The 16,996-nt window shown below is 38.1% G+C and overlaps 1 protein-coding gene and 1 long non-coding RNA gene across 10 annotated transcripts in view; one reads left to right on the top strand and one right to left on the bottom strand.

Annotated features, from left to right (window-relative positions):
* SGCD (sarcoglycan delta) overlaps nt 1-16,996 on the bottom strand; it is a 1,039,957-nt gene that overhangs the window by 420,346 nt on the left and 602,615 nt on the right. For all 9 annotated transcript variants that reach the window (XM_047417519.1, XM_047417518.1, XM_017009724.2 and 6 more), the window contains one exon: nt 2,766-2,954. In XM_047417519.1, coding sequence (XP_047273475.1) covers nt 2,766-2,954 — 189 coding nt within the window. The remainder of the gene's footprint in view (nt 1-2,765; nt 2,955-16,996) is intronic.
* LOC124901120 (uncharacterized) overlaps nt 1-16,996 on the top strand; it is an 85,782-nt gene that overhangs the window by 28,827 nt on the left and 39,959 nt on the right. The gene's annotated exons all lie outside the window — the stretch shown is intronic.

Genomic DNA, 16,996 nt, shown 5'->3' with positions numbered 1-16,996 from the left:
TCCATCTTTTAAATGTCTTTAAATGCAAGGTCCATACTACTGCCCTAGCTTCAGTATTCTCCTGTTTAATATTGCAACAGAGAAGTTTTACTAATTTATAAGTTTTTGAAATACAAATTAACAACATCACAGAACATGCACATCGACAGATGGCAATTGTGGTCACTGGGACTTAAGGCCAAATGGACCCAAGGCATCCTCCAGAGCCCTCAGCTCTAACAAACTTTCCCCATTCTATTGCTTCATCACCTAGGCAAGCTCTCTAGAATGTAAATCTGATTATATCTTGCTCTCCTGATTAAACATTTCTCTGAATTCTGCTTGTCTTTAAAGAAAGTAAAGTCCAGGCCAGGCACGGTGGCTCACGCCTGTAATCCCAGCACTTTGGGAGGCCGAGATGGGTGGATTACGAGGTCAGGAGATCGAGACCATCCTTGCTAACACAGTGAAACCCCATCTCTACTAAAAATACAAAAAATTAGCTGGGCGTGGTGGTGCGCACCTGTAGTCCCAGCTACTCGGGAGGCTGAGGCAGGAGAATGGCTTGAACCCGGGAGGTGGAGCTGGCAGTGAGCCGAGATTGTGCCACTGCACTCTAGCCTGGGTGACACAGCAAGACTCCGTCTCACAAAAAATAAAAAAATAAAAAAAATAAAAAAATAAAGTAAAGCCCAAGTTGAGAAGTATTGATTGAGTCTAATTCAGAAATGGAAGCTAATGTGCTCTAATACTCTAGAACTATTACCTTGGATGCCTACAACCCCATGGAAACTGACCATATAATCTTCCAAAGTTACTACTGCAATATAGATTTTCTGCATTTTTCAAAAGAACTGAACTCTTAGCTGGATGTGATGTCTCATGCTTCTAATCCCAGCACTGTCAGAGGCTGAGGTAGGAGAACTGCTTGAGGTCAGGAGTTTGAGACCAGCTTGGGCCACACAGTGAGACACCCATCTCTACAAACAATTTAAAAATTAGTCAAGCATGATGGTGTGTGTCTCTAGTTCTATCTACTTGAGGGATTGAAATGGGAGGATTGCTTGAGCCCAGGAGTCCATGGCTGCAGTGAGCTATGATCGTACCACTGTCCTACAGCGTCTGTGAAAAAGTGAGACCCTGCCTATACATAAATAAATACATATATAAAGAAAGAAAAATTTTTTTAGAAAGAACTGAATTATTTTCTCAAGATAGAAATTTGTAACATCAAGGTAATATTTTTGTTTTTATGGTTTCCTGTTACCACAAATATTAAAAAGTGAGCCATTCTGAGGCCTGAAGCAGTATCTGTAACCTTGGTTTATAGAGTGCTAATTAAGTCAAGCACCAAGAAGCCCTAGCATGAGTGATGGACAAAGCCATTCACAGAAAAGATGCAGCCTTTGCCTTTCTCAAAGTTCAGTTTGTCTGGGAAATACATGTAAAAATTATTATCTGGAGTGGTAAATATAATAAGAGATACATAAATGGAACTACAGGAGTAGCAAGACAAGTTTTACCAGACAGGGAAGACAGAGAAAAGCACTCCAAGCAGAAGAAAATGTACAAGCAAAGGCAAGAAAGTGTGACTATGCATAGGATGTCAAGGATAAAAATGAACTTTGTAATTTAGAAAATGCAAATATCCACTATGATATTTGGGATTGTCACATGAAAATTTTACTGTTACTTTGTAAAGGTCATGTTTATTTATCAAACAAGAGGGTTTTGGTATTTGTTATTTGGTTTGTTTCTTGGTTTGTTATTTGTTTTTTGGTTTTTGTTTGTTTGCTTGGTTGCAAAGATCGGGTCTTGCTATGTTTCCCAGGCTGATCTTGAACTCCTGGACTCAAGTGATCCTCCCAACTCAGCCTCCCAAAGTCCTGGAATTTAAGCATGAGCCAATGTGCCTGACCTAGGAGTTATTTTTATTGCCAATCTATATTACTCACTTTTGACATCAGAACAAGAAAGGAAATTATGCTCAATACAGCAGACTGCTGCCCAGTATTTCCTCATTAATGAGCTAGACTACTTACATTACTAGTATAGATCAGAATTTCTAGGTATAAAACCTCTAAATAACTCCAAAAGTCATTTTTCAGGATTTTCTTTTCATTTGAACTACAACAGTAAATGTCCAGTCTGTACAGGGACCCCAAACACCAATAGCAAAAGTTTCATTGAAGAAACATAAACATCAATTCTTAAAAAAAAAAATGAAACACAGCTACATTCCTCTAATTTCCATCTTACCCAGACTAGTGGCAAAGAGGATCGTCCTCCGAAAAACCCAGGATATTCTTAACTAACCAGAGTGATGGATAATCAAGCATAAATAGTTAAAATTTTTAGATAGATAATGCTCACAGTATAATTTTACTCAAATGTTTCAACTCTCTACTTCAAAAAACCTTTTATAATCACTACACTTGCTGAAAACTTAATACTTTGAATTTATTCTCTATTGCTTAATTATTTAATCAAAGTGCTTGAAAGCTACAGGCTACAGAAACAGTTATCAAAATGGAGGGATAACATACAGGAGATTCTAAAGGAGGGAAATATCTTTAAGTTGGAGTATTAGCCCCCGAAGAACTGAGATTAGATAGAAGTCAATATCCATATTCAATCTGAACAGAAATGCTCTTTCACCAAAACACGAGGTTACAGATTTTTTGAGTCCTACTGTAATAATATCACTTTTCCACATTCCTTCATCATCTTGCCCCACGCTTCCCCTCCCGGAAGAAAGCTAAACAAACCTAGATGGTTTTACTTACAATTGTGAAGTTCATGACTTTGAGAATCCAGATGGTCATGGCCAAGTTCACCAGTATTAAAATCATGAGGAGCAGGACAAAGAAATACAGGCATCGTTTCCGCCAGCCATAAATCCCCACCTTGTATACCTGTGGCCCCACAGAGCCAGGCATGGTGCTCCGGTGGTGAGTGTACTGCTCCTGAGGCATCTGAAATAAACGAGGCAAGAGAGAAGCACTCACATTAAACCGCTGAGAGAAGAGAAAAAAAATAAAGGAAAAAAAAATCAACTGATGAAGAGATATGGCTGGCTGCTGTCTACTTTTATACCCTCTGACAACTCTAAAAATCTGTTTCCTCTGGACAAAAGTGACTTCTCTGGATGCTAGCTTGAGGCTTCTCATTTAACACAGCCATGACTTCTGATGTGCACTGATACAGCCACAGTCACACACATAATGGGTGGAAAGGGACTCCTAGGAGGCCATTTTCCAAATGACTCAGAATTCCAACATCTTTGTGGGGGAGATGCTCAAAGATCTACCAAACCGAAGGAAAAATTTAGAATTACTGAAGAAAATAAGGTAACCCCAGCAGTTCACCTTAGTAATATAAAAATATTATTCAGGCAATTTATTTGGGGGGGTGGTTAAAAAATTTTGAACACTATCATTCTGTATTGCCAGTCAGTGGCAACCGTGGCAGCTTTGACTGCTCCTCTATTTCAGATTTAAAAGGGGGGTCCTTACAGACACACAGCTGGAACCCCACTTGATTTGGGAATCTTCAGCAAGTGATAGTCTAGTAAATACCTAACTACCCCCTGAGTTAGTCTTTGTGAGTTAGGCAATTCTAACCGTTATCAGGCAACTTATTTAAGAAACATAAAGGAGGGTCAAAGTCAAGTAAAATGTGAACATTAGCTCGTAGGCTAATGAGAGGATGAACTAGTTAAATGCTAAGCACAGTAGAGAGAGAGAAATTAGAAAAGGATTTGTCAATATATTATAAAGTAATACGTTGATGCCCTTTAGAATAAGGAAGGTTTTCCAAGTCCCTGCTGTTGACACAAATTATCTTTATACTAGAATTACTAATTGTCAACACAAATGTAGGTAAACATATCACTTCTATCCAATTCTAAAACCAAAACAAATTTTAAAATTAAATATAAATAAAGCTAGAAAATGCCTATCACTCAAACTGGAAAATAACAAAGTACTACAAAGGATGATTTGCCTTAAACTAAATCATATGAATGTGGTACCAAGGTCTCTGGCACAAGGTCTCCTGAGCACAGCATCTCTACTCTGTCATAAGCCATGTGATAACAGGACCCCCACTGCCTATCTCCATTCAGATAATGGTACAGCCCTTATTTTTACTTCATTTGGCTGTCATGTAGACACACTGCATTCCCTACAAATAAGACCTACTCCATTTATTTTCTTCTCAGCCAATAGCAATAAATTAGTAATATGTGGTGCCAAAGTGGCCATAATGAAAACCAAAATGCAGGCCCTAAAATCACATCCTTGGTTATTAGGATATCTTCCAGATGGTTCACAATATGATTTTTTTTTTTGGTTTTTAGATAATCATTAAAATGGACACATAAAATCTAAAAATCCCCTAGAGAACTCATGGCCGTTAGGCATCAGTGGAATTCCATTTGAAAAACTGAGTGAATTCTTCCTTATGGCTAACTGAAATGCTCCATGAAGGCCTACATGGCATCTGTCTCATTCCAAACACATACCCTAGTGCCGAAATCAGTACCTAGTATATGTTGGAATATGTGTGTGGAATGATTGAATGGAAAACAGAATGCATAAATGATGACCCAATGAATGATTTCCCATCTGCTACCAGCTCTGCTGCTGTCTGGGGGTATGTAAAGGTTTAAGCTAAATACCATGGGCAAGTTCTTGTTTGTATACTTGCAAATTTTCACTTCAGGCTCCCAAAGCACTGGGTTCCCAGCCAGGCAGTGAGATTTGTGGTGTAAGAGGATCTCAGTTTTAAATCTCAGCTTCTGATAATTCCTCTGCAGATCAGGGATGTGTTATAAGAAGACGGGAACACAACAAAGTCATCAATCACTGGCCTTTTTAAACATGAAGATCAAATAAAAGTAAAAATAATGCTTTATAAGCCTGAAATAAATTAGGTTTTTATTTTCCATCAGATCATATTCTATGAAATAAGAAAATGATCACAGAATCTTAGAATCACGTGTGCAATTTCCTTTGATATTAATCAACTAATTGTGAATGAGCCAAATTAGGATTAGAGAAGTTAACCTGCTTGTGCAGGGCTAAAGGATTTGTGGCAGGGTAAGGTCTTGAACAATAATCTGGAATTGTCATAGGCAAGATAAACAGTGAGAAATTCTTTACAAATAAGTGTGCAGAAGCTGGTGATATTGCCACTATATCAGTTGCCTTTTCTCTGTCATTCAACCCAATCGATGGTGTCATTACATAAACGTAGCTATAAAATGGAAATGACATGTTCAATAAATGTTTATAAGAGGATGGAGGTATAGGTAGCATGCTTGTGATTTCTTGTTTTCATACACATACTGGTAGAACTTGGCAGAATGCAGTGATTCTCTTGACTAAGGGTTCTCAGCCCTGGATGCACATCAGAGTTACTGATGGAGCTGTTAAAAACATTTGTACTCAGCCGGGCATGGTGGCTCACACCTGTAATCCCAGCACTTTGGGATGCCAAGGAAGGGGGATCTCTTGAGGTCAGGAGTTTCAGACCAGCCTGGCCAACATGGTAAAACTCCATTTCTACTAAAAATACAAAAATTAGCTGGGCATGGTGGCAGGTGCCTGTAATCCCAGTTACTTGGGAGGCTGAGGCAGGGAGAATTGCTTGAACCCGGGAGGCGGAGGTTGCAGTGAGCCAAGATTGCACCATTGCACTCCAGCCTGGGCAACAGAGTGAAGACTTCGTCTCAAAAAATAAATAAGTAAATAAAATTTTAAAAACACACATCTGTACTCAGGTTAAGTAACAATCACAGAGGTAGCACCCAGGCATCAGTATTTATTAAAGCTTCCCAGATAATTCTAAGAGTAGACAGGATTACATGCCATTGGTCTAGAATAATGCCACTCAACCCTAATTATGCACCGAAACACAAAAGAAACTGAACAAATATAGTACAAATTTTGAGCTCCATTTTCAGAATCTGGAGCTCAGGGTGGAACATTGTGAAAAATCTCCCAGATGATTCTAAGCATTTGGGACAACATCTAAAAAATGGCTTTCACTTTTTTTCATAGGGTAATCATTGTAAGACAAAGTCTTGCAAGAAACTCTAGTGTGTAAAATAGCAAAAAAATAAAATAAAATAAAATAAAAAATAAAAAAAGTGGAGTTCCTCTGCTTAAAGCAGGGTCTGGCTACCTTTGAGGCATCTCTGCAGAATCCTTTGCTCCTGGGAACTACTAATTTTGTCCAAGACAAAATTGACCAGCTGTGGAAGTCAAGACCAGGAGGAAGCAGCTCCTTTTCAAGTCACACAGCAAATTAGAAGCTGAGCAGGAATTATAACTTGGATCTTTTGCTGCATCGTATAGTGGCTTATTGCATGTCATCTCCACCACACCCTCTTTAATGAGTCCCATGAAACAGAATACTCCAGTCTCCAACTCATTAAAATACATAAGAAAGAAACAGTGAAGGGGATGAGCACTTTTTGACAAATAATTATAAAAGGAGGCCTTTCCATGCAAACATATGGTAATGGATACATCTGTTATAAAGAATCCTGCATGGAAAGGGAAATTTAGATATGCTGAGTACGTTCATTTTTCTAATCAAAAATTAAAACATGTTGAAAGATAAAAACAAAGATGAATGACAATCTCCAATCTATCATTCTTCTTATTCCTTCCCGGAACAAATGTACTGCCCGGGGAATTGAAGTTAAAACGTTAATTCCTCACTTGGGCAGACCCCAGGCCTTTGAAGACCCCAGGAGAGGCCCCAGTAAATCATGACAATAGTCATACAATTTTATAACATTTTTAAAAGATGTTTTAACTGCAACTCGCTAAACCCTATCTTTTTCTATTCTGACTTCCCCTCGTGTTAGCTCTGGAGGATTTACATGCATTTTGGAGATCTAAGAAGAAGTTGGCTTAGTGGTTCCTATAGTTTGAATGCAGAATATATTTATATGGTTTGCAGCACTTCCCAGTAGAGGTACATTACTGCTAGCTCTCCTGGTATAGGAATGTCTTCTAGGAATACTCCTTCCACCCATAGCTCCAATTCACCAAGCATGGTGACATGAAGGAAGAGGACCAAAGGACACGATGCGATATAAACACGACCTACAATGGTCAGCACCAGAAATACATGGGTAGTAGAAAAGACAGAAGCTAGTCAAAAGTTTATTTGATAATCATGAGATATGTAAAATGTCAAATGTAGAATTCAACTGTCATTGATGCCTCATCAAAACAAATGCTCTACTGTCAATAATACATTGTACATTGAATTTGGCATATATAATCATAAATGTTCCATATGTGTTTTATTTTGTATGAGAATTGTGGAAAATATAATTAACCAGAATACTTGGGTTTGTAGGTTATGTATACCATGTGTAACTTTGTGTAAAGTTGTGTGCATTCTACATTACAACCATCAATATTTAAAAAGTTTTGTCAAAATTGCCATAAAAATAATTATCTTTCCATTGTCCATACAGAAAGTGATAATGGCATATAGCTGTCATATGAAGAGACAATTAAAGGCTATACAACCAGAAAGTACAGAAAATGTATGTGAGGCAGTTAATTATTAGCAATATTATCCTTCCTGATTTTGTGATGTCATCTTTTAAAAATTAATAATTTAATTTCCTTTCTCATTCTAAGTATATATTCATGTTGTTAACTTGTTTGTATTCCTAATATTTTTAGTTTTTTCTTATCCCAATTGTTTTTAGCAGTAAGGTATTTTTAAGTTATGGTATGTACTTTTAGATATAATGCTATTGCACAATAGAATACTACAGTATAAACATAAACTTTATCTGCACTGTGAAACCCAAACATTTATGTGATTCACTTTATTGTCATGTTTGTTTTAATGGAAATAAAGCAAATGCATTTTTTAGCAAAACATTTGTTCAATGAATGAATGAGTGTACATTTGTTCAATGAATGAATAAATGAATAAAAATCAAGCCAACGTTAAACAGTAAAGTATATTCTCTAGTAATAAGTAACTAGCTATATCAGAAGAAGTAAAAACTTATACAACTTTGTTTTTCCAAAGGCACATACAATTATACCAATGCTAAGCAGGCTTAAATCCAAAGCATTACTTCGTCATAAAACTATTTTCAATGTTGACCTGTTCATAAACAAATCCACTTGACTTAAGGATCATCTGTTTCTTGCACACAAAATGTAAGAGGATTATATTTCCCAAAGAGTGAATACAGTAAAACTTTCTGTTGTTTTGCCATTAGATGGGAAGAAACTACCAAAAGACAAGACAATGCTATCATATAATATAACCACCTGTAATCATTAATTAATTAAATAGTGGTCAAATATTTTAGATGTAGAGTTTCCCAAGAAGGTCATTCTGAATGGTCATATTACTAAAGCATGTTTTGGAGAGCTGTAACCTCATGGTCTCAGGCATTCAAATGTTCCTACCTGGGACTGCAAATGTTCCTAACTGGGATTGCATAGCATTAGAGTCAAGACTTGATATTAATTTAATCTAGCAATCTCAAGAGTTGACTTGGACTTGGGCTTGTGAAGTCAAGGATCGACTTGGACTTGGACTTGTGAAGAACCTCCTTTGAGGCTGTGTGGCCCTGTGTAACTTCTACCACTTCAACCACCACCAACACCTCAGTGACTCTGTGATGACCATGCAGCCACCTCCAGTAGCCTCATCAGGGCTCAACACCAGTCTGAGAAGCCTGCTAACTTTATGCAAATCCTACCCACTGTGAAGTTGTCACCGAGATCTTTGAACCAGGCCCAACCTACATGATACCTGGACCTAGCCATTGTCCATCTAATTAAGGAAGCTACGTGAGCTTCAAAGTGATAAGTCTGCCATTTTCGACAGATCTTTAATATCTTAACAGAGAAACTGCTCTGATTAGACTCAGATGGTCATTAATTTTATACCATGCTGACTTTCCTTCCTACACTTGGTAGGAATCAAATGGCTACTGTGAAAATCTCTTATTGCTCCTCTTCTTACAGGTCATTGAGAAGACATAGGGATGAAAAAGGGTCATGGGTCAGGAGCATCCACAGCTGGTCCGCTTTGTGAGGCTAAGCACATATTCTAGTCTAATACCGTTGAAGTGGTCACTTTTTGTTTGCATCTTTGTTCCCACAGGGCTGTTCTTCAGGAGAAGAACAAATGTTTTCCTTTTTTGCCCCCTGGAAATAGTTACAGTATCTACATTACCAATTTGCTGTGCAAAAATGCATTATGTTTTCAGGGATGATTTGTAAACAAACAAACAAAAAACCCAGTGAACTTCCTAAAAACACATCAATGCCATCAAGTTTCCTAATGATCTTTCTTTTGGGCCTGTAAAATTGTATGGGCCATGATCAACTCTACCATAAGGCAGAGCTGAGAAAAAGAAGGGGCATTGACAGGCATTTTACTAACGTTTGACTCTGCTCCCCACTAGGCTTCTTCATAATCTCTTGTTCCATAAAGGAATTTATGGGGGTAGGTGCTGTGAGTGCAGTTCTCTGTTCAGTTATGCACTGTCAGGGAGAGACATGGCAAAGTACAGAGTTGACTTACAAAAAAAATTCCAATCCCAATCTATTTTTCAACAGTAAAATATTTATATATTTTGACATCTACTATATATGTCAGTAGGTCCTAGAGATAAAGGCCTTCAAAAGGATGAAAATGATCATATTCTGCTTTCATCAAGCTCATATTTTAATGAGAGATGGACAATAAACAATAATGGACAATAATGAAACCCCTAGAACTAAAGTTAGGTGCTAGGAAGAACGAAGAGGTACCTGTAATAGAGAATAGAAGGTGAACCACTCTGGTCATGGAAGGTCATTCTGATAAGGAGACAATTAAGATGATACTTGGGAGTGGGGGCAAGCTTTTCAGCAGAAGGCAGAGCAAGCACTACGGCCTGAAGAACTGAAGCTCAAGAGTTGGATTGAATGAGCTCAGAGGAGAGGGTGAGAGGTGAGTTTGTAGAAAGAGGTGGGGCACCTCCTAGGTTCTAACGAGTAGAGAAAAATACAGCAAGACTGATGGCTACATTAGCTAATTTAAGAATAAGACAAGTGATACAAATCAAGTAAGTTTTTATTTTTCTTGGTGATGCTACAGGTTAAAATTGGGTGAATTTAAAAGTAAACATGAATTATGTAACTATGAGATTGTAACCAGTTTATATAAATAGGAGGCATAGGTTCCCTCAAAGGCTCATTACAGTTTCTAGAGTTTGTTGTGGAATCTAAGCCATTTTGAATCATCCTGGTACAGAAATAGAAATCCATTAGCCATATTAGTTTTTAGGTAAAACTGTTTGCTTTCAAGGTTTGTTTTTTAGTCAGCCATCCATACCAGGCATTAGTCTGGGATCACAAATATTTGGCACAATTTAGACAATGGTAAAAAATTCATCACTTTTAGTTTTGATGTAACAACATTTGCTTCTTACAAAATTCATCCAGAAAAGTAAGCACCTATTTATGTGAACTAGCCCAGGAATGGCAGTTTCTTTTTAAACAAATATTCAGATTAACTTAATAGTTATATATTCCAATTCTTAGCTAAAATATGTAATACCAAAGTGTTGAAAAACTTTTACCGAAAACAAATTCAACAAGTGCATATATTTAAAAGAATCAAAGAACATGCAGTTAAACAATTCTCTCATTCATACCTTCAGCCTCCCCACACTGAGGCAACCAGTGTTATCAGCTTATTTTTTATCCTTACAGAAATGTTTAATACATATTCAGGCTTTATTCAATATAGATGTTCAGTGCATATGCACACTTATATTTTTTTTACACAAACAAGAGCATATTTTACATAATGCTCTAAATCTAACTTGGTCCACTTAACATAACTGATAGTCCCATAAAAACATAAAATTAAAAAAAAATAGCTAGACTGTTTTAAATGGTATGGATCTATGATATTTAACTTAACCAGCTCAGAGACAAATAGCGAGGAGGTTGTTTCCAGTCATTTTTGTTACCTATCATAATGAAAATGTAACTTTTTCTACTTGTTCTTGGAAATCAGTCTTATGAAGAAAACACAGAAGCAGCAGAAGGGAACAGTGCTGAGGTGTTAAGGAGTTCCTGTTTAAGAGATGGTTAAGCCTGACCATCCCAGAGAGATCTGAGAACGAAACACAAAGAAGCAAGAGAGTAAAGCATGAGGATATCTGGGGAAATATTTCAGTCAGAGGAAACTGGACAAGCAAGTGCAAAGGCCCTGAGGCAGGAGCTCGCTTGGCAGGTGAGGAGGACAGTGTGGCTAGATCAGAGTGCACCGGAGGAGAATGTTTGAAAATTAGCTTGGGCACAGGCAGAAGGGGAAAGAAGCAGGAGCTCAGAGCCACAGTAAAAACCTCAGGTATGATACAGAAAGCAACAGTAACCACTGCAGAACCTAGGCATGGAAATGGGATGATCAGATTTTCACTTCAGGATCACTCTAGTGTTCTCTAGGAAATGGGTTGTAGGAGCGAGAATGGAAGTGTGGAGAACAGGTGCCCGCGACTACTGCAATCGTCTTCAGAGAGGTGGCAGTGGCCCAGGCCTATAGACAGGTGGGTGAGAAGCTGGGGAGTTGCTGTATCTGGAATCTTGTGGGAAAGCAGAGCTAACAGGATTCTCTGTGGCTTGAGACATGGGGCGTCAAAAAGGACAGGAGTCAAGGAGAACCCCAAGGTTTCAGCATAAGCAGCCAGTTGCACAAGGGTACCCCACAGGGAACAGCGTGAGGATAGAAGGCTTGGAGGGCAGGAGGGGGATGGAGTGTGCAGGGGAATGATAGGGGAAGAGACAGGCGTGTTAATGTTGAAGGCACATGAGATTCCAAAGAGATGGTAAGAGGTAGTGAGATAAGGAGACAGATAAACAAGAACACTATGATGGCACTTGGAAACGAATCTGGACTTCAAGGGGAAGGAAGACTGGGCTTCGGGACATGAATCTTTAAGACTCCAGGATATGAGTATTATTGAAAGCCATAGACATAGAGCAGACATGTTTCACATAGGTCCAAATATACCTCTCAGGCAAGTCCTGAGAAACCAGATTGCCAGGTCAAAGTGTATCTGTACAGTTTTTAAATAAATATTATCAAGGTGCCCCACAAATTGTAATATACCTTGTATTTAAGTTTAAAATATTTATCTCTGATGAACCAGAAGATATTTCAGCATTGATGAACATCAATTCTTTCCATCCTAGAGATGCAGATGTATGAGGTACTAGTTGAGGTGCTTTCAGGCAGATACATTTGTGAAACACACATGCATATTTCTACCAGGAATTAGCAGATACACAAGTGCATACATTCCTGCAACACTATGGGAGATCGATATAATTAAAACCATTTCATAAATGAAGAAACTGAGGTCCTAAGGAATTCAGGAGTATTCTCAAAGACCCCTAACTAGTAACTTGGTTAGGGTCTGAACTTAAACTCAGGCCGGGTTTTCTCTCCATTACTCACAGGCTGAGGCAAAGACTTAACTTTTCCTGAATACAAAGTAAGGTATTTAGAATTATCATAGACGTATATTCAGTGTGAAATGCATTTGAAACACTGCCACCACCTGCAAATATGTGCCATCCTTCAGTTCCTCCCCTGACGCTGTTCAAGGCATCTGGGATATATCAATGAGCAACAACAAAGAGCTCTGATCTCACAGCGGTGGAAAGAGGTAGTGATGGGGAGACAGATAATAAACATAAACACCAGCGAATATTATATTTATGTCACAAGGAGATGAATGCTATGAGGAAAAGTCCCACCTCCTAAAAAAAAGCCAAAAAAAAAAAAAAAAAAAAGAAAATAGACCAGCAGTACCAGGGGCTGGGGAATACAGCAGGCTCAATATTTAAAAGCATGGGAAAGGTTGACCTCATGGAAAAGGCTATAGTTGAACAAAGACTTGACGGCATTGCAAGAATTGTTGAAGATTTGGCTCTATATAAAACTAGCCTGGTCCTTGATGTTGCAAGGTGAGGACCAGAAAAGAATATGTGAACTGAATGCCCTTGGGCAGCAAAAATAATTTCAAACATCTGATCGCAGATTTAATGGTGTCATTTTCACATGCAAAGGATGCTGTATCTACCCCATCATGGCCACTTCTATGGTTAGCTTTCCTAATAGTAGTGGCAGATACTCTTAGCAAACCAGCTACTTTGTGTTGTACAAGATCGGTGCTTTCTAAAACCCCATGGATGATTCCCACCAGAACCAGATAATGACAATAGGAGTCAAGCTACTACAGCTCTTCTGTGACTTGGGGACCAAGCTGTGTAATAAAATAATAATGAACATGACTCAAACACTTGAGATCAGAGTGACACACAAGGCCTAAAGGGAACATGGACAATATAAAATCCAAATCCTTATTTAACAGACAATAAAACAAGGTTCAGGGAGGTGAAGTGACTTAATCAACGTCACAGAGTAAGGCAGTAAAAAAAAACCAAAGTCAGCTAAACTGAAAACCAGTATGTTTCCCATAAATTCTAGGTTTCTGTCTTTTCCGCTTGAACTCCTGGTTTCACATTACTTTCACCAACCATCTACACACAGATTTTGAGCAATACTTAGAGACAAATAGCAAAAAAAAAAAAAAAAAAAAAAAAAAAAAAAAAAAAATCACTTTTCTAACATAAAGAAAGCACACATAAATGACAAACACTTGTATAATGGTACTATGTACTAGCCATTGTTCTACATGTATTTAATCCTCACAGACATATAATTAGTACCTGCCTCACAATCATTTCTATTTTACAGTTGAGCCAATGAGAAAGAGTGGTTAAGTAATCTACCCCAAATCTCTTTGCTTGTTAAAGGCATAGCAAGCATTTGAATCCAGAGTGTTTGGCTGGAAAACCTGTTCTCTCATTTCTTATATTAAATGCTTCTAGATATATGTGAATAATTGATTATAACAATGTGATTACTAATAAAAACAATATTTTTGTGATTGTATTAGCTAGAAGTTCTTAATATGGATATTAATTTTAAGACATATTATTGAATACCTATTGAGTGACTACTGTATTCCAGCCAGAGTGAAAGTTACTCTAAGTATAGGCATTTTGTCCCAGGTAATAAACCATCTTTGATATGTCTCTAAAACCTATAAATTTTTACAGCATCATGAAAAGCAGCTACAACAAATTAGGCACATCCTTCTATAGTGATTCAATAGTTTCATAAAATTAGAATTGATCCAGTAGATTCTCCCTTGACAATTGTGTTTGGCAAGAATCTTTAGCTATTACCTGCGCTCTCAAATGCTTGCAATGAAACCTGTGGTAGGAAAGGAAATGCTCATCTCGTTTTTGGTCATTTTACATATTTTTTAAATCAAAGTTTCTAGAAACAAGTATGATAAAAATAGCTAAACAGCATGCATTTTTCTAAGCACTTTGCATGCTTTCATGTAGATATGTATATATGTATGTACATCTATTGAGGAATAATTTACTTCTAGTAAAACAAACAGATATTAGCTACATAGCCCAATGAGTTTTACAAATCTGAACATCTTTGGGAACAATATTCAAACAGGAGAGGGAACATTTCTATCACCCGAGAAAATTCTCTTATTACTCCTCTTAATCAATTCCCTTCCCCAGAGATTGTGAGTATTCTGATATCTATCACATTTAATGTTTTCAGTCTTAGCTATAATCCGATGAGGTGGTTCTAATTTTGAGGTCTGGATTCTTGGCCACCATACTGTCCTCCTGCGACTCTGCTCAACAGAGACTTAGACCATCTCAACAGTGTTCTCTGAGAGAATGAAGCCACAACTTAATTATGCCCTAACTTCTCTCCTATGTGTCTAGAATATGCACCACCCTTGAGAGAACAGAGAACATGGTCACTCAAATAACCGTCTGCTTTCTTTGGTTCAGTTGAGAAACTCTAGAAAAATAGAGCAGACAAATGTAAACATGTACAGGTCAGATAGCGGGGTCAATGAATGAGGTAGGCATATGCCCTCTCAAAAGGACAGGAGCTGACCACAGGCCACCAGCCACTGTGCCCAAGAAATTACATAGGGAATGCCCATCTTCAGCTTTTTCTAGAAGATCAACATTATGATATCTTAAGATGTTTAAATATTTCATAAGTCAATTAAAACAAACAAACAAAAAAACACTTTGTGAACCAAAATGTACCTATAGTCCAAGCCTTTGGGTTGCCGGTTTATGACCTGCTGTTTGTATCAGCAGCCTGGTAACATCAGAGGGGTGGGGACGCAAACTTTTGAAGGTCTCAGCCAATGCTAGGAGTTAATCTTTCTCACTACCTGGTAAAAATTATGCTGTCCAGACACTGGCCTATTACCAATATTCCTGACCCCTGAGGGAAGCAGATAAGGACTTTGGTAAGCACACACTGAACAAATAACAAAGAGAAAAGAAACTTGCAAGGGTGAATGGAACCCAATAAAGAAAGAGCGAAAGGGCTAGAAAGATTATAGAATAAGAGAGAGGAGAGAAGTCAACCATAGGTAACGATAGGAATGAAAGGAACACAGCGTGGCTCTGTTCCCCGCTGTCCTTATCCTGGAACAATTTTCTTTCATTGAATACACAGTGCCAATATCACAACCCCAATGAGGGTTAGTACAAGATTTTGTCGAATGATTCGTTCGGAGAGAGGAGCTTACCCTGGTATTTATTTACTCTGAACTCAATGAATAGTTTCAGTGGCTGAATATGTCAACTCCAGCAAGTAACAGCAGGGTTTCCAGGCATTCACAATATATTATTTGGAAGTCAAGGTGCTCACAAGACAGTCTGATCCTATCACTCTGGCAAGGAAAAGTGGTCTGAGCAAGGAGGGAGTTTCTAATCCCTGGCAATATAGTTTTTATCAGGGAATTGTGCTTGCTCTAATAGGTGCCATTGCTTTATCAGTGAAAAAGAAGAATAAAGTGATTGCATCCATATCCTCCTACACATCCTGAGCTCCATTAATACAACCACCAACAAAGCTTTCTGAGCAAACCAATCTCACAGGATTTATATACTAAGTGAACCACGGTGACATGTTCCTCCCCAGTCCTACAGACCTGTCTGAGAGGCAGGTCAGAGGCTACAGCTTACATGGTTTCCTTTGTATGAGGCAGTTCACACTCTGCAATAGGAATTTGAAACAATAATGAAGACCTTTCTGTGTGGCAAGAAAAGTGAAACAAAGGGAAATGTGGAATTTCTAGAGAAATTTGGGCAACACAGGAAAAGTAACCCAGATAATTCAGAGTAAAACATCCTTTCCTTTGCTGATTGTTTGAACTCTTTGTTTTACCTTGCTCTACCTTTTTCACTCTTTGTTGATTTGCCTGGTGCTATCTCAGTTCATCTTAACTATATGTATTAATATATTTGACATATTTAAGTGCTTACTGTGTGCAAAAGACAATGCTAAGTGCATTATCTGTACAATCTCACAACACACTATTAGGCAGATACTTTTGTCTTGTCCATTTTAGAGATTAGGAAATTGGGACACATTTTGGAGATGATGTAACTTGCCTATGGCCACACAGCCAGGACCCCAGTCTTCGTTTGAGGCAGACCCTGAGCTCAGTTCACAATATAACCACTTTTCTTCCACAGCAAGATGATACCACCTTCCATTTTTTTCTTTCTTGCTGTGCTTCCTCTCCCTACAATCACCCTCTTCCTTTTCGGTTAACACATGTATGAAGTCCTCACCATGGAATGTGCATTGTTCAGATGACTAAGTTGAGCTCAAGGAGCCATAGTTTTTGTCAGGAGAAGGCTCACTGAAATATGTTCAAAGAAGAGTAAAGAAAGAGTGCAGGAAAAGATGGAGAAATGGGTGAAATGACTCAAGACACCCAGCCTTAAGGGAGACAGACTAAGAGTTATTCTTAAAGAAAAGGAAGAGCCTCAGGATTACAAAAATCATAGGTTGTGAAAACAGAAAACAATTCAGAGGTATC

This window comes from Homo sapiens, chromosome 5 (assembly GCF_000001405.40).
Source record: "Homo sapiens chromosome 5, GRCh38.p14 Primary Assembly".
Classification (NCBI taxonomy): domain Eukaryota; kingdom Metazoa; phylum Chordata; class Mammalia; order Primates; family Hominidae; genus Homo; species Homo sapiens.
Note: the sequence above shows the minus strand (reverse complement) of the source record. Positions and strands in the feature narration are given on the sequence as shown.